The 27969-nt window shown below is 50.1% G+C and overlaps 1 protein-coding gene and 1 long non-coding RNA gene across 3 annotated transcripts in view, besides 10 other annotated features; both read right to left on the minus strand.

Moving 5' to 3' along the window:
- SHB (SH2 domain containing adaptor protein B) overlaps positions 1-22554 on the minus strand; it is a 153330-nt gene extending 130776 nt beyond the window's left edge. The window contains exon 1 of the mRNA NM_003028.3: positions 21256-22554. Coding sequence (NP_003019.2) covers positions 21256-21972 — 717 coding nt within the window. The 5' untranslated portion in view covers positions 21973-22554. The remainder of the gene's footprint in view (positions 1-21255) is intronic.
- Positions 269-1262: an enhancer, noted in NCBI's record as "OCT4-NANOG-H3K27ac-H3K4me1 hESC enhancer chr9:38046939-38047932 (GRCh37/hg19 assembly coordinates)". NCBI's record gives its function as "activates a minimal SCP1, AML or CMV promoter by ChIP-STARR-seq in naive H9 embryonic stem cells {active_cell/tissue: H9 hESC(naive)}" and the evidence as "EXISTENCE:reporter gene assay evidence [ECO:0000049][PMID:30033119]".
- Positions 269-2256: a biological region, named in NCBI's record as "P300/CBP strongly-dependent group 1 enhancer GRCh37_chr9:38047203-38048402".
- Positions 533-1732: an enhancer, noted in NCBI's record as "P300/CBP strongly-dependent group 1 enhancer chr9:38047203-38048402 (GRCh37/hg19 assembly coordinates)". NCBI's record gives its function as "activates an origin of replication core promoter dependent on BRD2, BRD4, P300/CBP, MED14 and CDK7 cofactors, with strong dependence on P300/CBP, by STARR-seq in HCT116 cells {active_cell/tissue: HCT116}" and the evidence as "EXISTENCE:reporter gene assay evidence [ECO:0000049][PMID:35650434]".
- Positions 1179-1473: an enhancer, noted in NCBI's record as "tiled region #8558; HepG2 Activating non-DNase unmatched - State 5:Enh". NCBI's record gives its function as "activates a minimal TATA promoter and a strong SV40 promoter by Sharpr-MPRA in HepG2 cells {active_cell/tissue: HepG2}" and the evidence as "EXISTENCE:reporter gene assay evidence [ECO:0000049][PMID:27701403]".
- Positions 1263-2256: an enhancer, noted in NCBI's record as "OCT4-NANOG-H3K27ac hESC enhancer chr9:38047933-38048926 (GRCh37/hg19 assembly coordinates)". NCBI's record gives its function as "activates a minimal SCP1, AML or CMV promoter by ChIP-STARR-seq in naive H9 embryonic stem cells {active_cell/tissue: H9 hESC(naive)}" and the evidence as "EXISTENCE:reporter gene assay evidence [ECO:0000049][PMID:30033119]".
- Positions 2257-3250: an enhancer, noted in NCBI's record as "H3K27ac hESC enhancer chr9:38048927-38049920 (GRCh37/hg19 assembly coordinates)". NCBI's record gives its function as "activates a minimal SCP1, AML or CMV promoter by ChIP-STARR-seq in primed H9 embryonic stem cells {active_cell/tissue: H9 hESC(primed)}" and the evidence as "EXISTENCE:reporter gene assay evidence [ECO:0000049][PMID:30033119]".
- Positions 12221-13420: an enhancer, noted in NCBI's record as "CDK7 strongly-dependent group 2 enhancer chr9:38058891-38060090 (GRCh37/hg19 assembly coordinates)". NCBI's record gives its function as "activates an origin of replication core promoter dependent on BRD2, BRD4, P300/CBP, MED14 and CDK7 cofactors, with strong dependence on CDK7, by STARR-seq in HCT116 cells {active_cell/tissue: HCT116}" and the evidence as "EXISTENCE:reporter gene assay evidence [ECO:0000049][PMID:35650434]".
- Positions 20991-21794: an enhancer, noted in NCBI's record as "H3K27ac-H3K4me1 hESC enhancer chr9:38067661-38068464 (GRCh37/hg19 assembly coordinates)". NCBI's record gives its function as "activates a minimal SCP1, AML or CMV promoter by ChIP-STARR-seq in naive and primed H9 embryonic stem cells {active_cell/tissue: H9 hESC(naive and primed)}" and the evidence as "EXISTENCE:reporter gene assay evidence [ECO:0000049][PMID:30033119]".
- Positions 21685-21734: a silencer, noted in NCBI's record as "silent region_19916". NCBI's record gives its function as "represses an Ori minimal core promoter by ATAC-STARR-seq in GM12878 lymphoblastoid cells {active_cell/tissue: GM12878}" and the evidence as "EXISTENCE:reporter gene assay evidence [ECO:0000049][PMID:35858748]".
- Positions 22155-22964: a silencer, noted in NCBI's record as "silent region_19917". NCBI's record gives its function as "represses an Ori minimal core promoter by ATAC-STARR-seq in GM12878 lymphoblastoid cells {active_cell/tissue: GM12878}" and the evidence as "EXISTENCE:reporter gene assay evidence [ECO:0000049][PMID:35858748]".
- On the minus strand, positions 24754-27966 carry LOC105376039 (uncharacterized). Of its 2 annotated transcripts, none has more exons than XR_007061483.1 (4): positions 27886-27966; positions 27637-27748; positions 25368-25453; positions 24754-24878 (listed from the first exon to the last, which is right to left on the minus strand). It is a non-coding gene; the product is annotated as an uncharacterized LOC105376039 (long non-coding RNA). The 2 variants fall into 2 exon arrangements; XR_007061482.1 differs by lacking the exon at positions 27886-27966 and adding an exon at positions 25020-25182 and having other exon boundaries at positions 27637-27724.
- Positions 27967-27969: the final 3 nt, after the last annotated feature.

A 27969-nucleotide genomic window follows, 5' to 3' on the forward strand; every position in this document is an offset into this window, starting at 1 on the left:
CCTCTAACACGGAAGGAATTGAAATCGCAATGAGATGTGGCTTCATTGTAAAGTTGCACAACTTGGTTTCTTGTGTCTCATTAATTGGGGACAACAGTCATATAATGTTTGGGCCTCGGCCTGACAGGCCTGACAGTAAAAATCCCTTCGTCGCTTGTGGCTTATGACTACCTCTTACAAGACAAACCACATTCCACAGGAACCTGCGGTCTGGAGAGGGCTGTTAAGGGCTGTCCTGGGAAGTTTTTGGAAAAGATGGGGCCTGGTGAGAGAAAAGAACACCTGGCCTTTTTACAAATGCAGACACTGTGGCCCAGGGAGGGGAGGGGCCTTGCCAACATCACCTAGCCATGGCACCTCAAGGTTCAACGTACCCAAAGTGGCCAGTGTTTCAGGTTCAGTGCCAGCTGTGGGGGATGAGTGAAAAATGAGTTCATGTTCTCCAAGAGTCCAGTCCCTGGTATCCAGATAACACAGGAATGTCAATAAAAACAGAGAAGTTTGGCAGGCCTTGGGTATGTCCCCTGACCTCTCCAAGTCTGCTTACTTGTATGAAAAATAGTATCTTCCTTACACAATTCCTGTGAGGACTCCAATGAGAGATGTACCTGAAGCACCCAGCAGAGTATAGCATACAGTAAGTGCTCAACTGAAAGCAGCTAATCACTTCAGGCACAAGGCTGAGCTATTTTCTAGTTGCAGCGGTCCAATCTTCTTACCCACAAGTGTGTACACACACCTCCCCTTCGGTGCAGAAAACTGGAGACTGCAAGGCTTCACTGAGCACCTGTCCTGTGTGAGGAATGGCCCTGCCTGCCTCCAACAGGGAAGTTAACAGAGGGGAAAACTGCAATCTGGCTCTGGAACTGCAACATTCCTACCCCTCTTGGCTAATGCCTTCAGCAGGACCACAATTATAAACACAGAACTAACAGGAACTGAGAAACAGCAGCAGATCAAAAAGCAGGTTGCTCTTGCTTTTGGAGGATGTGAGACAGATTTCTTCCAAAGAGGCAAGGGAAAATCCCCCATCTTTACAGGTCAGGAATAGCGCCAGTAAATCCCTCCACTTTGTCCTTTCTCCTTTCATGGAATAGCCCAATGCGCCAGTGGGTGTTAAGCAAACAAGGGTGTGAGTTGCAGCTTCCTGTGCCTGACTATGCAGTTCCCGCACAGGTCCTTGCCCGAGCTAACGCTGTGGCCCCGGACACAGACAGATAAAGTCCCGATCGAACACTAAGGGCCAAAGCTGGCACCAATGAGCAAGCCTGGTGAGCTTATATAACAAAGGGCTTGTCACCACTTCCTGTGATCCTCATCGCCAGCATTCCAACACAATGAGACACTCAGCGGCTTTGAAGTTCAACAACTCATTCAGATGGCCCCAGCAAAAACTCTGCTGGGAGGTGGAGAGCCTGTGCTCCCTTACCTCACCTTCTCATCCCCCTCCTCACGTTGTGCTTGCAATGTTACCACTTCAAAAAAATTTCCAATAGTAATTAAATGATTTGCATTTGTTTTTAAAAACTGTAAAATATTCCAACCTTCCAGCGATAACCAGTGTATACATTTTGGTCGATTTCCTTCCAGTCTTTTTTCTACATATGTCGGTGGGAATGCAGTAATTGGAAAAGAATACAAATATTCATCATTTTTTATATCCTGCGTTTAAAAAAGTATTACTTCTGGCCAGTTGCAGCAGCTCATGCCAGTAATCCTAGCACTTTGGGAACTGAGGTGGGAGGATCACTTGAGTTTGAGATCAGCCTGGGCAGCACAGTGAGAGCCTGACTCTACATAAAATTTTTAAATTAGCTGGGCATGGTGGTGAGTGCCTGTAGTCCCAGCTACGTGGGAGGCTGAGTCTGGAGGATCTCTTCAGCCCTTGAGGTGGAGGTTGCTGTGAGCTATGATGGCACTGTTGCACTCTAGCCTGGGTGACATAGCAAGGCCCTGCCTCAAAATAATAATGATAAATACACATACAAAAAATGAAAAAGTATTACATTGTTGAGTGTTTTCCATCTTAACGATATTGCAGTGGAGTTACTCAACTCAGCTTTTGTTGGCTGTATTCCCTCTCACTTTAGGCCACACGTTAGCCACTTCCCATGGCTGGATATTTAGGTAATTTCCAGTTTTTGGTTTTGCCAAATGTTTTAGGTGCTTTTCCCTAGGAGGGCACCACTGGGTTCCCAGGGTAACAACTTTTAAGCCTCTCCATGTTGCTCTCTCACTGTTTCCAGTCACTCTTTTTGACCTAAAACCAAGTCTACAACATTTTTAGGGCAACAATACAGTCTATTCACAGGCACCTTCTCAGCTCATCTCAAGACAGAAACGAACATCCTTTTTATTTATTTTTGAGACAGAGTCTCGCTCTGTCACCTAGACTGGAGTGCAGTAGCGCCATCTCGGCTCACTGCAGCCGTAACCTCCCAGACTTAAGTGATCCTGCTACCTCAGCCTCCCAATTAACTGAGACCACAGATGCATGCCACCACACTTGGCTAATTTTTAAATTTATTTTGTAGAGATGCGGTCTCCCTATGTTGCCCAAGCTGGGCTCAAGCGATCCTCCTGCCTCGGCCTCCCAAAGTGCTGGGATTACAGGTGTGAGAGCCCAGCCAATATCCTCACTGAAAACAGGCTCAGATGGGTGTGGTGGCTCATGCCTGTAATCCCAGCACTTTGGGAGGCTGAGGTGGGCAGATCCCCTGAGGTCAGGAGTTTGAAACCAGCCTAGCCAACATGGCAAAAGCCCATCTCTACTAAAAGAATGCAAAAATTGGCTGGGTGCGGTGAGGCGCGCCTGTAATCCCAGCTACTTGGGAGGCTGAGACAGAAGAATCGCTTGAACCCAGGAGGCAGAGGTTGCAGTGAGCTATCGCACCACTGCACTCCAGCCTGGGCAACACAGCAAGACTCAGTCTCAAAAAAACAAACAAACAAAAAACAAAGCAAAAAAAAAAAAAAAAAGGAAACAGGCTCAGAGAGGTCAAGTGACTTGCCCACAGTCACAGTCTGACCCTGAACCCAGACTAACCCTGGGCACTAACACTGGCCCACACTGCTTCCCTCATAGGCCCCTAGGCAGGCCAGTATTTCAGCAGGTACCATGGGTACTTTTTTTTTTTTTTTTGGAGACAGAGTCTTGCTCTTGTTGCCCAGGCTGGAGTGCAGTGGTGCAATCTTGGCTCACTGCAACCTCCGCCTCCCGGATTCAAGTGATTCTCCTGCCTCAACCTACCAAGTAGCTGGGATTACAGGCATGTGCCACCACACCCGGCTAATTTTTGTAAAGACGAGGTTTCACCATGTTGGTCAGGTTGGTCTCGAACTCCTGACCTCAAGTGATCCTCCTGTCTTGGCCTCCCAAAGTGCTGGGATTACAGGCGTAAGCCACTGCGCCCAGCCAACATTTAAAAATTGAATGCATGATGATCTGAAACACAGCTTGCTATGGTCCCCAAGTCTCACCCTGTAATCTTAAATCCACCTGTCAATGTCTTGACCATCCAACCCCAGAACCAATGCAGGGAAATGTCACAGTCCTTCAGCAAAAGGGCTCAAGTAGTCTTTTATTCAGCAATGGGAAAGGTTCCCTTTTACCACTAAAGAACTAAGCGGCAGAAAATGCCATGCCCCAATTAAGTCTAAGGAATAGACTTAATAATGACAATCTAATTTGCTCACTCTGAATTTAGACTATGAATGCAAGGTTACCTTAGATTTCACATTCAAACCTACCTTTGAAATTCAAATATATGGATATTTTAAGGCAGCCAGGCCTCCTTCTGCAAGGGAAGCCCTGATTTCCCTTTTTGGGATTTTTTTTTAAAGAAAAGTCTGGGAAGACACAAGAACGTATGAACAAAATATATGTTTTGTTTCAGTACCCTTCACAGATCTAAAGTCCCTTCCCCATAACTATGAAGGTGGTCGTCAGAAATGTCCAAGCATAAAATGACTCTCAAAATGAATGAATGTATACAACTGAAATTTACTTTCAGAGTAAGAAATGCTTGAATATATATGGAACTAGAAGCTGCCGAATGTTAAGAAATCCAATACTCTTAAGTGTCTGCTAGTCTGTAGAAAACAGATGTAATCAGAAGAAACCATCAAAAGCAAAGGGTAAGATATTTTCAAGGATAATCATTCCCAAAAAGGCCAGGCAGATACAAAAAAAAAGAGAGATTTCTAATTTGGGGGTGATGGGAGAAAACACACAAAAAAGAACGTGCCTTCACTCCTCAACCACTGACTACAATCTTTTACTACAAACTGCTTATTTAGCATCCTCTGAATTGTCACAATTTTTGCTCCCACTGGAGGCTTCAAGTCTAATCATCTGTAAGGATTCCTCAAAACAGTTTGCCTGGATAAAGAAAAGTTTCTCTGCCTTTTCAAAACCAGGCCCACTTCTACCCTAGTTTGCAGGTGACAAAGAATCTGAGTCGAAGTTGCACACAAAATTCAAGGCAGGCCAGGCAGGGTGGCTCATGCCTGTAATCCCAGCACTTTGGAAGGCGAGGCGGGCAGATCACGAGGTCAGGAGATCGCGACCATCCTGGCCAACATGGTGAAACCCTGTCTCTACTAAAAAATAACAAAAATTTAGCTGGGCATGGTGGCGCATGCCTGTAATCTCAGCTACTCGGGAGGCTGAGGCAGGAGAATCGCCTGAACCAGGGAGTCAGAGGTTGCAGTGAGCCAAGATCGCGACACTGCACTCCAACCTGGTGACAGAGTGAGACTCCGTCTAAAAAAAAAAAAAAAAAAAAAAAATTCAAGGCAGAGGGACAAAGGGCAAGTAGGCGAGACCTCAAAGCATGCCCGGGTTGAGTGTCTGCACTTTGACAACCTTCAGGCCCAAGGCCTGGGAATATCATCCAGGCTGTGACAGCGTTCTCAGCTGTCCTGTGGGTGATGAGGAAGTGATGACACCAACTCCCACCATCTCGTCACTTCACAGTCACACCACAGATGGCTTTCAGATGATCCAGAGCCCCACAGAAGCCCGGCAAGCAGGAGCTGACTGATGGCAACATTATTCCTAGATCTTTACAAAGCGTTTCTTCTGAGCCTGTAAAGCGAGCTCTGCCGGTCAGAGTGGCCCTCTGATGGAGTGGTGAATGTGTAAGGAATTGTCCAGGGATCTTCAAGGGGCTCTTTGACTGAGCCCAGCAAACATCTTCATCGTGGCTAACATTTCTTTCCCTCTGGGGACCTAAAGGAGGCTGAGCACTTACTGTTTTTCGAAGAGCTTCTCCCTGCAAGGACGTCCTCTGAAGATCAGCATCCCGCGTTGGCTCAGAGCCCTGGTTTTCCCTTTCCCTTCTTGCACTGCTGTCTTCTGAAGACTTCAACTACGACACCAGCAACTTTACATGGCTTCTTTCTAACTGCCATCATTTGCCTGGACATCCTGGAATGTCTCTAACTCCACGAGGTGCTGCCATCAGATGGGAGAGCTCCATCTCAAGGGCAGGTGACTAGCTCTGTCCACCCCCAGAACACACACAGCCCCCTCCCCATCTCCTTAGTCCCCCACGTCTTTCCTCATGGATGGGCTGCTTGGTAGCTCTGTCCTTTCCTGCTCCATGTTTCAGCAGAAACAAGCAGTCTGACTTGTACAAGGCCTCCTCCGCCCAACTCTCCAACCAGCAGAGCCATTCCCGGCTCAGACTCCGTGACCCCAGCACATGTTCCGTCCGGCTCTGACAGAATGTGGACAAATGCTCTGATGGACTGAGTAACTCACAAACTCCCACAGAGGACGTTTCGGCTATTGACAGAAAAATCTATCCTCCTGACAAGCGCTCGGTCAATTTCTCTCGATTGCCCAGTGTCATCTGAGAGCTGCCTGAGCAGTCAGTTGCAGTATTTGAGGCCCTTGGTGCCTCTGCCTAAAGCATTCCATGTCCTCCTAACTGGGTCCCCACCTCCATGCCCAGCTTAGAGCCTCCCCACCCCCACTCCTTTCTAACTATCCCCTCAGGCTACAGACATACAGGTGTCCCTAAAGCATGAGGCTGACCCTTTCACTCACTCCCTCCACTACCTTTCTTTACCCACAGAATAAAGACCAAACTGTGGCCTGGCCCTGAAGGCCTTCCCACACCTGGCTTCTCCTCCATCATCTACTAGGGACCATTCAGAGGGCCCCTCTCCCGGGATGTCCTCCTCACATCCACCAATCTCTAAATATCCAGATCCTCCTTATGCATGAAGGCCCAGCTCCCATGCTGCCTCCTCCATGAAGCTTTCCTTGATGCCCCTTTGGCAGCATTGTCCTGAGAATGTGCCTATGGGGAGTACCTGGCCCAAACTAGACACTTTATCGACAGTAGAGACCTGTGGTTTCTATGACAGTAGAGACCTATTCAGCTGATAAATGGCCATCAGCTGACACAGAGCTGACCCGTCACTGTCCCTTGCATCTGTGTAACATAGACTGACTGCCTGGCTGGAACCCCAGCTCCAGCTCTACCCACTACTAGCAGTGTCATCTACGATAAGATACAAACTTGTTTGCCTCAGTTTCTCCATCTGCAAAATCAGACTCTTTTTTTTTTTGAGATGGAGTCACTCTCTGTTACCGAGGCTGGAGTACAGTGGTGCGATCTCAGCTCACTGCAACCTCCACCTCCCGGGTTCAAGCAATTCTCCTGCCTCAGCCTCCTGAGTAGCTGGGACTACAGGCGCTTGCCACCACGCCCAGCTAATTTTTTGTATTTTCAGTAGAGATGGGGTTTCACCATGTTAGCCAGGATGGTCTACATCTCCTGACCTCGTGATCCGCCCACCCCAGTCTCCCAAAGTGCTGGGATTACAGGTGTGAGCCACCACACCCAGCCAGAATGGGACTCTTAATAGAACTTGCCTCCTATGGGGTGTTGTGGGAATCAGTGAGCTAACATACCTCAAGCTCTTAGAACAGAGTGGTGATCCCAGGTAAAGCTTAACCGTAAGCAGACCCACCAAGATAAGGATAGGTTCACTCTCTGAGGACCACATCATCAGCCCAGACAGGGCAACCCCACTGACTTTACTGTGGCTATAGAAAGCCCAAAGTTCAAAGCTGGACTGAGGCCCAAGACACACAGGCCAAAATAATATAAAACATTCATAAAGCTCTTCCTAAATGCTAGGCATTGTGCTCAGCCATTTCAACAAATGATTTTATTTAATCCTCACAACGACCCAATGTACTTCCCCAGAACCTCATCTCCCAAATGCCTTACCATCTGTAAAATGGGGATTCTCACAGCAACACCTCAAAGACACACAGTTAAGGATCAAGTACTGAAAGTGTTACCTATGGTGACACAGAGTGAATGGTCAGGAAACACCATCTGTTACTATTCTACCTACATAGAAGATGGGGCATTCCAGGCCCAGAGAATTTTATCACTTGTCCCAAGTTACTAAGCTTCCAAGCACCAGGGCTAGGATTTGAGCTCTGGACTTCCGACCCTAAAGCCAGTGAGTGTTTCATGCCACCACAGTGGGACACACTTGGGTTCTGCTGTGTCTGGAGCAACAGCCCTGGGCTCCTGTGGTGTATGACCTTGTCAGCTAGCCCCCACAAGGGGCCAAGAAGCAGGACAGGGAATGCCCAACCCTGACATCACACTGCTTTCAGCCACGCAACCTCTGCTCCACTTGCTACCTACTCCTCTGGAATCCACTCCTGACAGCTCCTTTGCTGAGACTCCCCAAATCCACCTGGGAATCTGACCTTGTTCCCCATCCAGTCACATGCCTGCACAGTTAACACCTCAGTGCCAACCTCAACTCACCCACCGGGAACCTGCTCTAGCCTATTACTTCATGCCCACAGGAAGCTCCTAGACTTGGGCTCCATCAAGACCTCCACAGTTGTGACATCAAAGGGTCCTTGCCCTTAGCAGCTGGGGTCCTGGCTGGGAATCTGGCTCTGTGGGCAGTGTTATAGCCTGCAGCTTCTCTCTGCCTTTGAAGATACAATCGCACATCTGAGGGTCCTTATATGAGAGAAGCAAGGTTAGACTGGTTCTACTTGACCTCAGAGAGTCAAACCAAGACAGTAGTAGAATCTACAAAGAAAAAGAGTTCAACCAACGAGTTCCTGTGAATACCAGGTGCTCAAAAAGCTAGAGTAAACATTTAAAATAAAAAAAAAGTCAACCCCAGCTGTGCAAAGGTGGCCGGACAAAAGGTAACAAATCTCAACATTGGAAGTTTTCAGCATGGATGGAAGAGAGTTGGATGGGGTGATCCCCAGCTCTCTGGGACACCAAAGGTCAAGGATAGCAGCTTTCTACCTTGGCTGCAGATCACAATCATCTGGGATCTTCAAAAAATACTGATGCCCTGGCTGTATCTCCAGAAATTAATTAATCTGGGATGGGAGCCTAGGAAACTGAAATTTGTAAAATGCTATGCAGGTAATTTTACTGTGCTGCCAGGACTGGTCCTGGGTTCAGTGACGTGATGTGAGTTAGGCAGACACCTTCAGCCTCTTAGAACCACAGTCATGTTCGGCAGTGTTCAGAAATCTGCATTTTTCCTGGATTTATTCCCCATGAACACTCCACGACTTAATCTTTTCCTTTAATACCAATTTGTTTATGTCATCAACCTCACAGCAAACACTGCAGGATGGATTTTCCTAACACCAGCATGAACCAGAAAAAGAGAAACAGGCTATAGTGGTCTGGAAAAAAATCTCTCACTGATTGAAGACACGGGACACCTGGGTTGATGGTGGGCCGAAAACGGTGGGGTGCAGAGGAAGAACCTGGTGACCTGAACTTTTTGCAGGTGTTAAAAAATTTGAGTGACCAAAATCGTGTGGCCCACACAGGCCACACCTTCAAATCCTACCCATTCTGAACTCTCCCACCAGCCATACCCACCTCGCCCAAATGCTTCTCTTGTCTGCTCAGGGAGTCATTTACCTGCCTGCCTATGCTGGCAATGAATTCCTCCCTCTCCAATACCCACTCCTGGGCTCTCAGCTAGAGCACCCAGGCTTAACTGTCTCTGATTGTTCCATAGGACTCAGCCCAGTGCTGGAATATGGTTGGATGACTGAACGCTACACCCACTCTGTGAAAACTGAAACACTCGCTTGGCTCAAGCCACATGGGCAGGGCAGACCACCGTGATTGCCTCAAATACACCTAGACAGCCCAGCCTCCGGTATCAGAGGAGGATGCCGACTCCACCAGAGGCAAGACAAGGCTGTCTTGGCCACATCCCACACACCACAGCAGGTTTGGCATTCTGCTGTGGTGGGTAAAGATGAAGCCCTAGTTAATACCTAGTTACTTTCCTCAGATGTCAGGAGTTGAATGTGTAATAAGCGCATGGGTATCTGCAGAAGAAAGTTGTCATTTTATAAAGACAGGCCTTCATCATCATTATCATAATCACTGATGAGACCTAAACACTGTCAGGGCAAGATGGAGTCAAAATATTTAAGTCTCAAAAGGTACCTGAAGATCATGAGCAAGCAATACAGGGTACCCAGACACACACTAGCCATTTGGAAAATAAGATGACAACCATACCTCATACAATGAAATCAAACTCTAGGGGGATGGAAATTTTAATGTAAAAAAAAAATCCATCAAAGTATTAGAAGAAAATATAAATACTACAGTAGGGAAGACTTTGTTTTTTTGAGACAGAGTCTTGCTCTGTCTTCCAGGCTGGAATACACTGGCGCAATCTCAGTTCACTGCAACCTCTGTCTCCTGGGTTCAAGCAATTCTCGTGCCTCAGCCTCTAAAGTAGCTGGGACTACAGGGGGATGCCACCACACACAGGTAATTTTCTGTATTTTTAGTAGAGACAGGTTTTTGCCATGCTGCCCAGGCTGGTCTTGAATCCTGAGCTCATGTGATCCACCCGCCTCAGTCTCCCAAAGTACTGGGATTATAGGCGTGAGCCACCGCGCCCACATGGGAAGACTTTTCTCAGCAGCATGCTCAAGAAATCATGAAGGTGGAGACTGATTAAATAGAAAACAATTCATTGTAACCAACAACAATTGCCACATATAGAACCAAAAGGCAAATTACAAACTTTAAAAAATGTTCTGCAACCCAAATGGCAGGTAAGGGGCTGCTATTGTTAATCCACAAAGAGTTCTTACAAATCAACAGACAAAACCCTGCAGCAGAAAAGGATGAACAGATGATAAAGTAAACAGTTTTGGAAAAGCAACACAAATGGTCAACACACATTTGCACCAGGAATCCAGGAAACTGCAAATGCAACTAACTTGCATTAGAATTCCGAGGATTGTGTGAGAAGGGTAAAACAGGTGTCAACTTGTAAGGTCTTTCTAGAACACAATTTGAAAGTATGTATCAGACTTTTTACTGTCTTATCCAACAATTCTCAGAATCAACCCCAAGGAAATAATCACAGACCTATGCAAAGAATTAAGTTACAAAGATGTTCATTACGGCACTGTTAAATTGGTGAAAACGAGGAAAAGCCCAACATGTGAACAGAATACAATGCAGCTATTAAATTACAGTTGTTAAATATTTAAGATATTGTAGACATCTTTCCATGTCTTTACGTTTAAAAAAATATAGACGGTATCACTTAATTTTTGTGGCGAGAAAAATAAACATATATATATATGCAATGAAAAATGGCTAGATGAAAAAGTAGTAAAATGTTAATGGTGGTTTCTTTGAATTACGGAATTAGGGTTGGTTTCTGAGTTTTGCTTACTTATTATTTTCTATACCAAACTTGTCTTAATTTTGTTATAAGGGGTAAAAGGTTAGTCAAAAGATAAATGTGGAACTACAGCTCAAAATGCAAGCTGGTCCCTTTCTGAGGAACCGGCTCAGAGCACAGCCAACTTGCAAGGGCCCCACACAGGGCAGGTAGGCACCATGCCATTCCGCAAATGCCATGCAGTCCCCGATCACATGTGTGGCTTTGGAATGCACCAGAGGGATTACCGGGCTGTCTGGCTTTCTGGGAGTGCACATCCAACAAGATGGTAAAGTTTCACTGTTAAGAACTTTCTGATGATTTTCATTTTTAGAATTTAGCCGTGGCCTGGAGAAACCTGCAGACTCTCATTCCTCCTAGTTCTGTTTGCATTCTCCCCATAGCCCATGTACCAGTGAACCCACAATATAAGGGACCACTTCCTATCAGAAGCAGCCAGCAATGAAATGTTCTGCTGAGCAAAACAGTGGCTGCTCCAGCCCTGTCCCTGGAGACTTAATCGCTGCACTGTCTCCACCGCCCTGTGGTGCCCAGCTCAGCCATGCAACATAGCAGGTGGCCTCTTTTGAATTAGGAGTACTGGGGCAATTTCAGACTAGTGGCAGGCAGGGCCTGGCCCTTTGCCACCTTCCTCTATCCCTGGCAAATATACCATGGCATGCCCCAAGCTCTGGCCACCCCTGACTGCACACAGCAGAGTTCCCCTTCCAATCTCAGCCACTGTAGATGGGATCCCCTCTGTCTTGGATGCCCCATCCACACCTTCCTCTGGACCCATCTCCCATGAGGCCTCCTCTTCCTGACGGTTTTCCCCATTTCCTCCCACAGACCCAGACAGAGGGCCATCCATTTCTTCCCTGGGATCTCAGGCACCTCCTGACCCCAGAGGGCAGAGAGTGTCCCACTCTGGACCCCTAGGCCTCAGCTGCTGAATCTACTGCATCAGTGGCTGCTCGGGGCCAAAACCCTGCAGCCATCCTGGCTCTTCTCCCTCATCTCTGCCAGGAAATCCTGAGGCCCAATTTCACCACACGCTGGAATCTGCCCCTCTTCTCATCACCTGCTGTCAAAGCCCTGCTTTCAGTGGTCTGCCTGCTGGTGCCCTCTCTGCTCTAGAATCTCCAGAGCCACCCTTTAAAAACCCAAGTCAGATGCGTGGCTGGCTTCTCTGCTCAGAACCCTCTGCTGCCCCCATCTCATGCAGGGTTAGCGAGGAAGGCCTCTTCAATGCTTGTGAGTTCCGACATCCTCTGCCCCACACCTCTCAGCCCTCAGCTGCCTTCATACCTCCTCCTCACCTGCTCCGCTCAGTCATATAGATCTCTGCATTGCTCCCTGAACCACCGAGGCATGCTACTGCCTCAGGCTTCTGCACTGTTCTTCTTCCCTCTGCCTGGAATGCCGTCCTTGGAGAGCGGGGTGGTTCATGCCATCACAACTCTTAGCAAGGCCCTCTCTGAGCACCCACATAAAAAGCATCCCACCCCAAATTCACGTTTGCCATCGCCTCTTTATTCCTCTTTACTTTCCTCCACAGTCCCCACCCCTGACGTAACTGTATTTACTTGACTCCTGTCATGAGAGAGCAAGCTCAGGGGAGCATAGACTCTTATCTGCTTTGTTCATGGCTCTATTCCCAGCACCTAAACAGAACAATCCCCAACACACAGCAGGCTCTCAACAGTGTCTACTGAATGAATGAATGAATGAATGAGAAGAAAGGACTTGGCATGGGCTCTCACAGCCCCCTGGGAACTCTGGGTCCAGCCTGTAAGTCAAGGCCCGGCAGTGGGCCAGGGAATTCGCTTCCCCCACCCACCCACCCACCTGTCGAGTCACTCTCCCCTCCTCGGCCGTGGGAAGCCCCTTTCTGACCAGGAGTATTACGTGTTGCTTGGAAAACACTGGGCCTGAGTCACTCAGTGGGGCTCTAATTCTCTCTCCATCCCCTGGACCCACCTCCAAGATCCTTCCTTTACAGCATAATGGGAAATCCAGAGACAGCTCCCCTTGGAGAAACTGGAAAGGAACTGAATGATTTAGAGGAAAATTCAGTTCTTCCTGCCTCGGGAGTTAGGAAAGCTCAAACTCTCAGGAAGTTAGTGCCGCTGAAAGTGAAACATTAATAGAAATATTACTGGAAAATACCAAACAGGAAGAGAAGGAAAATTCCATTGTGGAAGCAAGGTCCTCTGTCGATGCTCCTTAATGGTCTCAGCAAAGTGTTTCAGAATCAAAACACGGGAAGAAGCGGAAATCAATCAGGCTGTCACCCTTCCTGTAGACTCCAGATTCGGCCACGCCACCTCCACACCACCCCGGCACAAAGGGCACTGGCCTCAACACAAGGTCAACACACACAGCAGGTACTGGCCACCAGCTCTGCCTCTGCTGTGAGGCAGGGAAGAATGCACTCCTCCCCATGAGCCTCTGTTTCTCCATCTGCAAAGGGGAGATTACAGCCCATTCCTCGCAGAGTGGCTCTGAGAAGCAAACAAATTACCGGTGTGAAAGTGCCCTTTAAGCTGTGGAATACTTACATAAATGTTGGAATCAGTCACTTCTACCATGCCAACAGAGGGGACATTTTACAAAGAGTAAGTCTAGCCACAAATAAGGCAGAGATGATAAAGCAAATTCAGGCATGGGATTGTGCAGCTTGAGGTAGTATGGCACAGTGGTTACAAACAGATGCTAGATCTGGCTTCACATCTCATCTCTGCCACTTACTGGCTGTCTGACTTTATTATTATTATTATTATTTTTTGAGATAGTGTCTCGCTTTGGTGCCCAGGCTGGAGTGCAGTGGCCTGATCTCGGCTCACTACAACCTCTGCCTCCCGGGTTCAAGCAATTCTCCCACCTCAGCCTCCCAAGTAGCTGGGATTACAGACATGTGCCAACACGCCGAGCTAATTTTTGTATTTTTAATAGAGACAGTGTTTCACCATGTTGGCCAGGCTGGTCTCCAACTCCCGACCTTAGGTGATCCACCTTGGCCTCCCAATGTGCTGGGATTACAGGAAGTGCTGGGATTACAGGCATGAACCACCGACCTGACTTTAGACAAGTGACTTAACCTGTCTGTGCCTTGGTTTCCTCATATGTAAAAATGAAAATAGAAGTAGCAGTAGTAGTAGCTACCTCAAAGGACTGTAGTGAGGAGTAAAGTTACATACAAAGCACACAGAACTGCACCTAGCTCAGAGTATGTATAATAAAAGTATTAGCTAATATTACTGTAGTGGAAAACTCCCTTAATTCAAGTGATTGTACCTTTTTTACTCAAATACCTCCTCCTCACCCTGCATCTCCTGTGGCTCCATGAAATCAAGGCCCTGCCCAGAACAGTCTCTGTGCCAAGACAGCTTTTAGCTCACCCACACCACTTTATTTACAGATAAATTCTGACATACAGATGTGGGTTTCAACCTTGGTTCCTGTGTCCTCAACCAAAAGATAAGCTTTTCAGGGGCGGGCACTATCCAGGCCCTGGTTCATCCCTGTATCCACACAGCTCCTGATGGTGGCCTGCATATAGCAATTGCTCAGTCAGCACAGGCCAAATGAAAGCTAGGAAGTCAGAGACGACCACCACCTTTGTCCTGCGGAAAATGCACAACCTTCTGGGCACAGTGGCTCACACCTGTAATCCCAGCACTTTGGGAGGCCAAGGCAGACGGATCACTTGAGCCCAGGAGTTTGAGATCAGCCTGGGCAATAAAAAAATACAAACATTAGTTGGGTGTGCTGGCGTGTGACTATAGTCCCAGCTACTTGAGAGGCTGAGGTGGGAGAATCGCCTGAGCCTGGGAAGTTGAGGCTGCAGTGAGCTGTAATCGTGCCACTCACTCCAGTATGGGGGACAGGAGTGAGATCCTGTCTCAAAAAAAAAAAAAAAAAGAAATAGAAAATACATCACCCCTACCACCACCATCAACCAACCTCACAAAGCCACAGGGTGTGTTGCCGTCAGCCAGCCAGCATGCGAGCTCTGTTGGAAAGTCACACGTCCCAGTTTATTTTCTAGGGCCAAGCCTGGCCTACCCATTCCCCACAGGCCACCACTTCTGGGCTCTCCCAGCACAAGCTAAGCTAATCAGGGGAAGGCTTGACCACAGGCAAGTTAGACCTTGCTGACTGATCAGAAGAAACCACAGCTGTTTCAGATTTGACTTTTAAAGCTAATTTTTATGGGTCAGAAATGCTCTGGGGGCAAAGAGAGGATAGGGTCAAGTCATGGGGGTTAAGCCCTGGGGTAATCAGTCATGTTCTGAGATTGTCAGATTAGAGAGGACAGTCACCTGATCTCCTTCAAGGAAACTTAAGTTCCTTGTTGATCAGGGCCAATGTACCGCCAGTCTCTTCCTCCAAACAGAGCACACACAGCCCGGCAAATCCTTGAAGGGAAGGAATGCTTGGTGTTAGAATGAGAAGACATGACAGTTACAAGACTCACGTTTTGTGCAGCTGTCCCTTGGGATGTGCCAACTCTGTGCTCAGAATTTCTCTATAAAATAACTCAAGTGCTGCATTAACATCTCATTTCTGGAACTCTGAGGCAGATGGGAGACAGAGAAACAGAAAAGCCAGCTCTAGGGCCTCTTCTAGGGACACCAAAGCAAAGGCTGAAAGCGGAGAAATTACAGCAGAGGGATGCAAGAAGAGTAGCATTAAGTAAAGGGGAGGAGGAGACATGTAACATATATTCCAGTAAATATCCAAGCCTCATACTACTTATTTCCATTGAAACCACGGAAAATAGAGGAAGCATATAGGTTTTGAACTCAAGACTGCACTGGTGTGATCCTTGCTCTATCACTTTGCAGCTGTGTGACATTAGGCAAGTCATCAACCTCTCTAAGCCTCAGTTTCTTTATCCGGAATATGGGGATAAGGTAGATGATGGCATCGAAGGCCCTAATTAATGGCTTGCCTGTATCCCTGCCCTTTGCCATGGGACACTGCAGCTCCTCCTCTCTCCTTGAATTGTGGCTGGCCTTATGATTTGCTTTAGTCAACAGAATGCAGCAGAAGGGTCACCATGCCAGTTTCCAACCTCAAGAGACCTTATGCGCTCCTGCTTTTTCTTGGAACCCTGCTGCCGTCATATGAACATGTGCTGGAGGAGGAGAGACCACACGGAACAGAGCTGAATTGTTGCAGCCCAAGGCCATCCTAAACCAGCCCACCAAACACGTAAGAAAGCCTAGCCAGGATCAGCAGGGCTGCATACCCACCCCACCCCCAGTGACTGCAAAGGCATGAGTGAGCCCAACTGAGACTAGAAAAATGACTCAGATATGCAGGCTCTTGGCTATAATAAAACCTTATCGTTTAAAGCAGGGGTTGGAAGCTAGAGCGCACAGGCCAGCTGCCTGTTTTTGTAAATAAAGTTTTATTGGGATACAGCTGTTCCCATTAATTTCCATATTGTCTATGGCTGCTTTCAAGCTACAGTGGCAGAGCTGAAGAGCTACAATAGAGACAGCATGGCCCACAATCAAACCACGGGCGGTTTTGGGGTGATTTGTTATGTAGCAACAGCTAATACAGTACTCAAGCCTCTCCCAGTGGGACAGTGAGGATTAAATGACCGATTAAGTGGTTACTATGAAGCCTGGGGAATGTATTTCCCTTCTGGGGAATCAACCAGGAAAAACTGGATTTGATACGCAGCATTTCTCTCACACTGCTTTCAGGGGATGGGACTTCAAAGGGGAAAGTGTCCCAAGCCAAACCACAGCTATCAAGTGCAACCCTGACCTTTGCCATTAGTGATATTTTAAGAACTGGAGAGTGTGGCTGTTCATCAAATGGGAATGACTGACAACTCATGTTTGACCCCGGCTTCAATCAAGCCCTACATCAATGATTTTATGTGAAACAGGACAAATGATAATTCACAACTCCGCAGCAAGGCACATGGGACTTTCTTCCCTTTGTGGGCTCCAACCTCCTTCTGCAGTCTCCCACCACACCTGCCCTGCTGCCCCCAGCCATCCTCTCCAGCCTCCAGGCCATGGCACAGGCTGCTTTATTCCTTCTGCATGAAAAGCCCTCTTCCCCACTCCCCTGCCTTGGGAATTCCCACTCAGCCTTCTACACTCAGCTCAAGAGTGGCCTTCTGCTGAAGGCCCTCTTTGGCTTCCCAGCCAAGTTCAGGCCCTCCCAACCCTGTGCACACACTTCTGGCATTCCTCGGGTTGTGATATTGTCTCTCTGGTTGTATCTGTCTCCCTGACTAGACCGGGAGAAGCTGGTATTCAACTGCAAACTGAGAAGCTTCCTTTTTGGAAAGTTAGCCACCACTTACTTCTCTCTGAATTCCCTCTGCCTAGCAGGCAGTTTAGAAACTGTTTGCTGGATGTTTTTTTTTTTTTTTTTTTAAAGTTAGACATGATATTATTTATTCTGTAACTATGGAAAAAGTGTTATTTAACTCAACTCTGGATGCTGACAAAATATAAAGTGTTGGTACACATTAGTATGTATTTAAAACCTGGGAAAACTGATGTCATGATGCTCCTGACTTAGTTGTGGTGGAAACAACATTTATTTAATTATAATAAAAGAAACAAGACTTCAGCAGAAAATATAACTGGATGAGACCTGTTTGGCTGCACAAAAGGAGACCTACCAAAGTAACTGGCCTCTTTTGTCATCATTTTTTTTTTTTTTCATAAAGCACAACTTGAAGGAATACTGTGTCTACCTATTCCAGTTTCGTTTTCTCATCCCAGGAGCTCGGGACCTCACCGTCTCTCACCAGAACTACAACTGTCCCCTAACTTTGATCCTATTTTCCCCAGATTTTGGCAGCTGTTTATAGCCTGGATGCCCCTCCACCATGGCTCTGAGTACATCCCTTCCCTGGCTCAACAACCTTCAAGGTCTCCCCTGTGGGGTCCAACTTCAAGCCCCTACCTCTCTCACACTGTCATCTCTCATTCCCCAAACAAGGCCCAGCTGCATGAAAGTGCTGCTTTCCAAGAACAGGCCTCACATTGAGATTTTATACACATACACACACGTCTATGTTCACACACATGTATACACTTACATATACACACCCTGACACATAAGCACTCCTGCAGCGTGCAGTCACCCTCTCCCCTGAGCTGAGATTCCACTTCCAACCCTAGATCCAGCTCAAAGCCACCTTCTAGGTGATGAACTTCCCAAATTCTTCAAGATAAAAACACTGGGAAACAAAGGATGAAATTCCTGTCAATCTCCTCCAGGAGCTCAGGCCAGAGATCATGGACAAGTCTCCTGCATCCTTCACTACCTCCCCTCCTCACTCACACTTGTACCAAGACATCTCTGAGTACAAAGTAAATGCTGGAAAAAGTGGGCTATGTTAGGGGAGAAACCAGTAGAGTAAGGCTAGTTTCTCTTCCAAATAATTCTAAATGGAAAAGTTGGCAGGGTGCCGTGGTTCTCACTTGTAATCCCAGCACTTTGGGAGGCCAAGGCAGGAGGATTGCTTGAGCCCAGGAGCCTGGGCAACACAGAGAGACCTCCTCTCTACAAATAAAAAAAATTAGCCAGGCGTGACAGTACATGGCCCCAGTTACTCAGGAGGCTAAGGCGGGAGGATTGCTTGAGGCTGGGAGGTTGAGGCTGCAGTGAGCCATAACTGCACTCCAGCCTAGGTGACAGAGTGAGACCTCTAACAATAGATAAAGACTAAATGAGGTGCCAGAAGTGGTTTTCCTGGATCCATGAGTGAGGGGCAGAAGGAAGGCCGGATCTACAGTGTGCCTGGCCTCCCAAAAGCTGTCTGGCTGGAAATAATGTGAAAACAACTGCTTCCTGACTGCCTGATGGGGTGGAGGTGGAGGGGTGCTGGCCCAGGATCAGGAGGTAGCCACACACAGATGGCAGAAACAAGGGCATCCAGAGTCTCTGCATCCCAAGGCTGCCCTGACCAGAAGACCCAGAGGGACAGTTAAGGAGAAGCCACTGTTGCATGAGTGGTTTTCAAACCATGGTCCCAGGACCCTCAGCCATTTCCCCTCAACCTGGGAAATGATGGAATGCAAACACTCAGGTCCCCCACCAGGCATGCTCAATCAGACGCTGCAGGATGGGCCCCAGCAATCTGTTGTAACCAGCCCTATAGGTGCACTAAAGTTTGAGGATCGCTGCACTATAACGTCCTGCTGAGCCTCCCTGGCTGCCTCCTCCCTCCTGGGTAGAAAGAACATCTGGACAACTTCTCAAAAGATCAAAGGTCTCGCAGTCACAACCTAGTAGGTGAAAAGTAACCCAGAGAGATCTTCTAAAAAACCATATCTGATCACAACACTCTCGCAGCTAAATCCCTTCACAGGCCCCCTCTGTGCTTAGCCTACAAGGTCCTCCCTGACTCAGGCCCTGCCCAACTCTTAACCTCTCAATTTCAGCCACAAGGGACTTCACCTGCAGTTCCCTGAAGCACAGGGTTCTTCTCCAGCCAACCATGGTGACCACCCCTCCCTCACAATAATGGCCCTGCCTCCAAGGTGCACTCCTCGATGCCACACCCCCCAACCTCTCCCTTGCCCTTCATCCCTCCTGTAACCCTGTAACACGAGGTCTCATCATAGCACTCATCACCATCACGCCACTATGGCCTCTGTCATAGCATTCGCTGCAGAGGGTCCCTGCTCCAGCACCCAGCAGGGGAGGACACAGAGAAGACCCGTAAGAAATATCTGGTGATGAAAAGAGTCAAGTCTTAAATATCTTGACATCCTGGCTATAAAACAAATCATTCCTTAGTGTTTGAAACAGTCTTAACTGTAACTGGGAAAAAATGTTTACTGAAGTTTTGAACCACTAGCAGTGGAAGAGAAAGGAGATCTGCCCACCTGGGGTGTGGCTGCAGGGTAACAAGGAGGATGCATAAAGTCCAGTGCAGTTAGCCGTGACCCTCTCGTGCCTTTTATATACAAGACCTCCAGGTTTCCCCAGTGCCTGCACCAAGCCAAGCTTCAGCCATGCATAAGACTGCACGGAGCCTATCTGGTGTTTCCCTCACTGACCAAACACAGGCCCAGGGTCCTGGTGGCTCCCAGGGAAATCTGCCCCCTCTCCCAAAGCAGCTCCTAGGTAGCCACCTGGCTCCCAGCTAGTCGTCATCTAGGTGTGGCATCCTAGGTGCTTTAGAAACCCAGAGTCCAAGCTTCCGAGGGGTGCCCCAAACTGCCTCCAGGGAGAGGTGGGATCTTCCACGGACTGCCCATGCAGATCAAACAGGGGAGGGGATATTCTGGGGACCTCGGGGAGGGGAGGCCAGGCAGAAAAACTAGAGGGACATTCCCTTCCTCCTCTCTCCTGGCAAACAAAAAAGATCCCTTTCCAAGCACCAGATGGCAGGTAAGAGCCTGTCTCCCTCCTGTCTGGACATCCAGTCCTAAAAGGAACTCAGACTCTTAATCAGTCTCCCCCAGCCCAGGCCTGGGCAAAGGTTTACCTTTGGGGGAAGAAGGTGGGGAGAACAACAGCCACGCACCAGGGCGCTGAGAAGGAAGGAGCTCTCCCACCGGGCCTCAGATTTAATCAAAACACTGCCTTCCACCAGAAGACAGAACAAGTATTATTTTATGGGGGAAGGGAGGGCTTCACAGGAGTGTGAAGGGGGAGGAGGGGACCTAGTCTGGCTGTAATTAACTCGTCTGCTTCAAAGGGAGGAATCTAGGTGGCCTAATGCGTTAGGAAGGGGGCTGTCACAAAGTCCCCCCGTGTTCCTGGGACCTTATGGGGTAGGGGTGAGGTCAGGAAGGAAGCAGGTGAGGATAGGAGGGGTGGGGTCTCCTTCCAGCCGGGCCTGATAGGCTGACCCCCTCCCGCGCGCAGCGGGAGGAACTGACGGGTTCGATGAGGAGCGCTCTTGCAGGCAGCGCATTTCAACCGGAAAAGCACGCGTGGAGGTTCCCGGAGCAGCTCCGGTACCAGGCAGCCCGGATTTGGAAACCTAGAGCTGGGGGTGGGGCAGGGCAGGGCCGGGCAGGGCAGCCGCGAGAGATTTACATATACACGCTGGAGACAGCCGGTCCGGATCTGCCACCAAGAAAGCTGTGTAATATTGGGCGAGTCCCTTCCTTGCTCTGGACCTCAGTTTCCCACCTACAGCGTGAGCGGAGGGTGGAGGCTGGGATAAGGGGTGTCAGGAGTCAAAGCTCTTCGAAGTCCTAGACAGCTCTGACTCTGACTTTACTCCTTGGCAGCCAGAAGGACTGACTGGGTCCGTCTTCCTGGGGCAAGGCTGGGCCGGGCGCTCTCGCTCAGAGGGGACGTTCTGGAAGCAGCGGCGAAAGAGGTGGGGTCAGGAGGCCGCCGGTCCCAGGAAAAGGGCGCGGGAGGAGGCAGAAGCGGGAAGCAGCACGCCAGCCCCGACCCAGGGTCCTAGGCCGAAGCTGAAGTAGAGACTCAACACCAGAGCGGCGGGTGCCTCGGTTTCCCCGTGCGCACCGTGGCTCTGGAACCTCGGGAAGAGGCCAAGGGGCACCTTACCTTGTCCTTCTTGCCGGCCCCGCTCTCCTCCGCGGCTGAGGCGGCGCACTTGTTGAGCAGTTTCTTGCCTCCGCAGGCCGTCGGGCTCCAGGTGCGGCCGCCCGCGCAGGCGCCCCCCAGGGGGTCCCCGGCCCCACCGCCCGCGGCGCTCTCCACTTTGATGAGGCGGTGCTTGGGGGAGATGTAGCGCACCTCGGCCGGCGTGGCGGGCCGCCGCTCGCTGCTGCTGCGGTAGAGATGCGGAGAGCCGGAGGACGAGGACGAGGACGCGGCGGCCCCCGCGCCCGAGGAGGCGCAGCAACAGCCCGCGGCGCCCGACGCGGACGAGGCCGAGAAGGCGCGCTGGACCCCGCCTGGCTCCCCGCTGCCGCCGCAGTAGTCCAGGCGGCACATGGCGCGCAGTTTGCGCAGCGACGAGCCAGGCCCGTTGTAGGGGTCCTCGAAGTCTCGCTCCTTCTGCGCGCGGTAGGCGCGGATGAGGTCGCTGGTGCTGCCGCTGTCGTCGGGCAGCGAGCCCGAAGAGGCTGAGAAGCAGGAGGCGGTGGCCGGACCGCAGGACGCCGAGGCGGCGGAGGAGGCCTGCGGCACGGCCTGGGGGGGCTGCGAAGGCCGCTCGCCTCGGCGCCGCTGCTCGCGGTAGTCTGGCCGCGGCGGCTGCGGGGGGCTCTTGGTCTTGCTGTTGCCCAAGCTGAAGTACTTGTTTAGCCACTTGGCCATGGCGAGAGGCCGCCTAGGGCCGCGGCGCGGGAGCCCGGTCCGCCGCCGCGGCCATTCGGGGGGCAGCGCTGCGGCGCAGGTCCCTCGGCGCCCCGGCCCCGGCGGGGGGCGTCCGGGGCGCCCGCTCCCGACGCCAAGTTCAAGTTCTTGCCGCCGCCGCCTCCTGCCGGCAGCTCTCTGGCTCCGGCGGCTGCAACACCTCCCTCCGCCTAGCGCCGCCCAAGCTAGGAATCTCGCGCCCCTCGTGGGCGCGTCTCATGGGGTCCCGGCCCACGCCCGGGGGAGAGCGGAAGGTCCGAGCGCTCCACGCCGCGGACCCTTTGGCCGTACGCCCCTCGCCGTGGATCGCGCTCCTGCCCCGTCGGAGCCGCAGCCTCCGCCTTGGCCGGGATCCGCGGCTGCCGCGGGAACTTCTCGGCGTCCTCGGCTCCCTTCTTCCTTCCTGCGAGCGCTGGGGAGAGCTCGGCCCCGCAGCGGAGGAGAATGCGGCCGGGAGAGACAGCGAGCGACGGAGGAAGGCAGCCGGCGCCCGCCGGAGCCCGCGCGCCCGTGCCCGTCCCGGCGGCGCCTGTCGCTGCCACTGCCGCCGCCTCCCGAGCCGCCGCGTGTGTGACACTCAGGCCGCCAGAGCCCGCCCCGCGCCGCCGCCCCGCCCCCCCGGAGCCCGCTCGCGCGCCCCGCCCCCCGCCCGCTCCCGCAGACCCAGCACCGCCCATCCCCGCGAGCCTGGCCCCGGGCCGCGGCCCAAGCCCCGCCCCCCTCGCGCCCGGGGCCGGGGTGGGCGCACCTCTCCGCTCCTGCACACGCCACCTCCCGCGGCTGCCCTGGCGCCAGCACCAGGGTCTTGCCCCAGGGCGCTGGGGTCCCGCCGCGCAGCCGGCTCCACCTAGCTTGCAGCTCGCCGCCGCCTCGGGCGAGAGGTTGCCTGGCGGAGCCTGCTACGCGCAGAGGCCAAACCTTTCCGCAGTCCCCCGGGACCCCGCGCGTTGTTCACTCCAGGGATCCCCCTGTCGGGGTTGAGGAGGGAGAGTGGATTAACACGGAACCTGTCTAGTTTACAGCGTGGCCCGTGTGGAGGAAATGCAGTGCCTAGTGCCCTTAGGGACAGAGTGGCTGTCCCTCTTCCTTAAAGGGACAGACTCCGGTTCAGCCCCGTGCGCCAGGTCTTCGGAGGAATCTTTATGCTAATGAGTGTATTAGCAGTCCAGATGACGGATGTGGTCGGGATAGGCGGTGGGAGCCGGGCCCAGCACCAATCCGAGAGCAAGGCTAGGGGAGGTCGGAATGTTTGCTTACCTTTTCACCTCTGAGGAAGTCGAGGCTTTAGCCCTGTTCGCTGCCAGCCGGCGGGGAGCAAGTTGTGGGAACATTTAATGCCTTATGTTGTAGGAGCTGGCAAGGATCCATTTAATACAGGACCTCGGCCGGGTGCGGTGTCTCACGCCTGTAATCCCAGCACTTTGGGAGGCCGAGGCGGGTGGATCACGAGGTCAGGAGTTTAATACCAGCCTGGCCAAGATGGTGAAACCCCGTCTCTACTAAAAATACAAAAATTAGCCGGGTGTGGTGGCGGGTACCTGTAATCCCAGCAGCTACTCGGAAGGCTGAGGCAGAGAATTGCTTGAACCTGGGAGGCAGAGGTTGCAGTGAGCCGAGATCACACCACTTCACTCCAGCCTGGGCGACAGAGGGAGATTCCGTCTCAAAAAATAAATACAGGACCTCATTTTACAGATGGAGAAACTGAGGCCCAGAGGAAAGTCACACAGGTGGACTTGGATGCCAGTTCCTAAGTCGGGTGGCACCATAATTATGTCTTTTCCAAGAGTCTCTTCTTTGCGATTTCAGATCATCCTTTGATTATTAACCAAAATTGAGGAAACAGTCCCAGGGAGTGGCCTGATTTGGTCAGTGTAACTTTTCCTGGGATCTGCACCCAGGGGAGGTGGCATGCTCCCTGTTGAGAGGGAAATGCTGCCTAAAGATGAAGTAGCTGCCACTAGGGCCTGGTGCTGCTTTGAATTTGCCTGGGCAACCCTCAAAATGTGACTTAACTCTAAGATGTGGGCACCTGAGAGCTGAGAAATTCTCTAAGAATGTTGATTTACTAAAACAATAGCCCAAATCAATAATCTGCATTTGCTGTCTGTCTGTTATAGATGTGCTTTGGGGGAGTCTGTTTTTCCCATATCCTGTAGTAACAGTGGGAACTGTGAGGGCAGACAGCAAGGCCAGGGGCTCTTTTGATCACATCATAGTTCTGGCCACGCTGGAAGTAGAGGTCAAACTCAGATTTCAATCTGAGACATTTGGACAGGGAAGGCCTGAGAGCTGTTACTGCTTCCTCTCTGTAACCCACCCAGACTCATGCCTGAGGCCACAGCACAGAAGTGATAGAAGCAGGACTTGAACTCGGTCTTATCCTGAAGCTGACCTCTGTCTGCTCAGCCATACACAGTGGTAAAGTGAAATTGACTTCAAATTTGTTATTCCAGAATCAAGCTATTTGCCCTTTCCCTCCTTGGTCAGACAAAACTGTCATCCTCTGTGGCCAGTTGAATTTTCCAAACCCACTATGTGACGTCTCACAGTCGCAGATACTATCACCAGCTACAGAGCATCTTCATTGCCTGAGATCTATTTACTTAGCATTTCACAGGAAATAATCTAAGGGATGTGTGTGTGTGTGTGTGTGTGTGTGTGTGTGAGAGAGAGAGAGAGAGAGAGAGAGAGAGAGAGAGAGATGTGATGTGTCTGGGGCATGCAGAGAGGACCCAGAAGTTGACCTGGCTAGGATGTTTATTTTGAATATACCTAGACTTAAGTATCTCCGTTACCCTTTAAATTGTTCCTCTGTCGCATTGGCACTTAATTATCTTGCACGTAAGGAGGCCCCAGTAGAAAACCTGAAAGGCAAGGACATCCTTGTTTTAAGCCCCACCTTTCATCCAACCACAAATCCTCCCCAGCTCCCTTCCTTCCCATTTCTACTTCTGGGCTCAGATCCTGGCAATAGGCCAGGCCACCTGAGACAAGAAAGTCCTCACCAGAATCTGGAAGCTTGCTCCCTGCATGTGTCTTGCACATGGAAAGGTTATCTCTGCCTTTTCCAAAAGTTCAGGAAGAGAAGTTATATTTCATAACTTATTTTTTCCATGTCACTTTCATCAGGCCGTAGAGTCGGATCCACTTTTCCATGTGATACCTCTGCTGGGGTATAATTTGCAAGCCAGAATTATTGTAATGCTATAGTATTATGCCAAGAACTTCCAGAGCACTTGTGTATCTGCTCAACCCTTAGACACTCTGTATATAATTAACCCTCCTCAACATCCCTGCAATCTGGTGTTATTCCCAGTTTACAGATGGGGTAGTTGGCCTAAGGTGGTATTTACCTCAAGCAGGCAAAAACCACATGGGTGTTTTCCTTTGGGAGCTTGTAGAGACGACCATCCAAGACTCAGAGTCCGAAATAATCATTCTGAAGGGAAATAGAAAAAGCTTCCTAAGGACTTTGCCAAACGGTTTAGGAAGACAAACACTTGTAGAAGTATTAGAGCATTATAGGAAGTAAGAGCTGGACAGACTCTCTTTTCAGAGATCCAGCCACTCCATTTTACAGAGGGCAAACTGGGACCAGTGAAGGGAAGAGATTAAATCAAGAGGCACAGCTAGGATTGGTCCCCAGTCTCTTGACATCACAAACTCATTATTATGTGATGCTGTAAACTGTGCCCATCATTTTTGGAATTTTTGCTTTTCATGTCCTCCTCCAGTCCCACCCTAGTTTTCTTATTAGAAGGGTTGAGTATGGCCCTGTTTCTGTTTCTGTTCTATCTCAGCTTCTCACCTTAGACCAAGAGCTCCTCAAGCTGCTAGGGGCATGGTGTCTCCTTTGCTGCACCTCCTTCCAGTATCTGGAGGAAGGCTGTGCCACTTGTACAGGTCCAGAAAAATAGTGCCACCACCAACCCAACAGACTCATCTTCTTCTTCTTCTTCTTCTTCTTTTTTTTTTTTGAGACAGAGACTGGCTCTATCACCCAGGCTGGAGTGCAGTGGCACGATCTCCGCTTACTGCAAGCTCAGCCTCCCAGGTTCATGCCATTCTCCTGCCTCAGCCTCCTGAGTGGCTGGGACTACAGGCCCCTGCCACGACGCCCGGCTAATTTTTTTTGTATTTTTTTAGCAGAGACCATGTTAGCCAGGATGGTCTCGATCTCCTGACCTCGTGACGCACCTGCCTCAGCCTCCCAAAGTGCTGGGATTACAGGTGTGAGCCACTGCGCCTGGCCTTTTTTTTTTTGAGACAGAGTTTCACTCTTGTTGCCCAGGCTAGAGTGCAATGGGGTGATGTTGGCTCAACACAACCTCCGCCTCCTGGATTCAAGTGATTCCCCTGCCTCAGCCCCCGAGTAGCTGGGATTACAGGCATGCGCCACCATGCTGGGCTAATTTTGTATTTTTAGTAGAGATGGGGTTTCTCCATGTTGGTCAGGCTGGTCATGAACTCCCGGCCTCAGGTGATCCGCCCACCTTGGCCTCCCAAAGTGCTGGGATTACATGCGTGAGCCACCGCACCCGGCCTCATCTACTTCTTTTAGATAACATTATTCAGTTCTGTCCATTGAATGTTAACGTCAGTCCCCTGTCTGTGTACCAGGCCCTGTAGGATGCAGAGATGATCTGGACCACAGTCTCTCACCAATAATTATACAAGGCAAGATGAGAGAAGTGCAGGACAGAACAAGGGACAAAGAGCTATGGGGCTATAGGGAAGGGAGATTTTAATTATGGGGCGGGGCAGATCATAGTGGGTTCTTAGTAGAGGTGATATCTGGTCTGGGCTTTGAAGAGTGAGTAGCATTATGATATAGTAGAAGTAGACGAGAGAATTCCATGCGGAGAGAGAGAGAGCAACATCGTGAAAGGCATAGAAGCAGGAACATGTGGTAAACCACTTGGGCCATAGTGAGTTGTCAAGTGGAGTGGAGTAGCTGAGAATCTCTGAATGCATGGAATGGTGGGTAAGGGTAGAAAGGTAGGCTGTACCACATCAGGAAGAGTTTTCAATATCAAACTCAGGAGAATTTTTTATCTTGTAGGCAATAGGGAGCCATTGAAGGTCTTTGAGCAAGGAAATTAATTACCTTATGTTTTCTACATTTTATAAAGATTATTTGGGAAGCAGTGTGGAAGTTGTATTTCTTGGGGAGAGACAGAAAGTAGGCAGAGCAGTTAAAGGAATGTTAAGGAACCAGAAAATGGTGCAGAGAACAGTAGTTAATGCACAGAAGGCACTCAGTACTTTTGTTGAATGAATAAATAACGTTGAAGTAGTGAAAGGGTGTTAAGTCATTTTAGAGGACAGACTCTGCCTGACTCTCAAGTCTTTGCCTTTGGGCTACTTAGTGAGTGGTGACCAACCACTTCCCAGTGAAAGGTGATACTGCAGGAAGGAGAAGGTGGTTGACTTGGCATTAGCTACCTGTATAAACAGCTGTGAGGGTCAGGGCACAAGTCTGGACTGGAGGTGTAGATTTGGGAGTTATTAGAACTCAGTAAAGATCTAAAGCAAAAACTTCTGTCATCCATGACCCCTTAGTTCATTCCTACTTTACCCAGCCCGTCGGCAAAGTATATGCAGAATCTGGCCACTACTCACCCCCTCCACTGTTACCATCCTGGACCAAGACTCCTTCATCTCTTGCCTGGATTATTGTGGGAGTCTCTTATCCATCTTCCCTGCTTCCATCTCACCCCAGCAGCCAGTGATCCTGTTAAAAATGGGTGTGATTATGTCTTTCCTCTCTTCACATCCCCCCTGGAATCCTGATTTTCCTAACAGGAAATGCCAAAATTCTTACAGTAGCCCGTAAGGCCTTATATGACTTGGTCCCCTTAAACTCCTAACCTCCTGTTATGCTGTCCTCTCTCTCCTGCTGCAGCCAGGCTGCCTCTTTGCTGTTCTTTGAAGCCTCTAGGCACACTTGTGCCT

The sequence above is a fragment of the Homo sapiens genome, chromosome 9 (genome assembly GCF_000001405.40).
Source record: "Homo sapiens chromosome 9, GRCh38.p14 Primary Assembly".
NCBI classification, from domain to species: domain Eukaryota; kingdom Metazoa; phylum Chordata; class Mammalia; order Primates; family Hominidae; genus Homo; species Homo sapiens.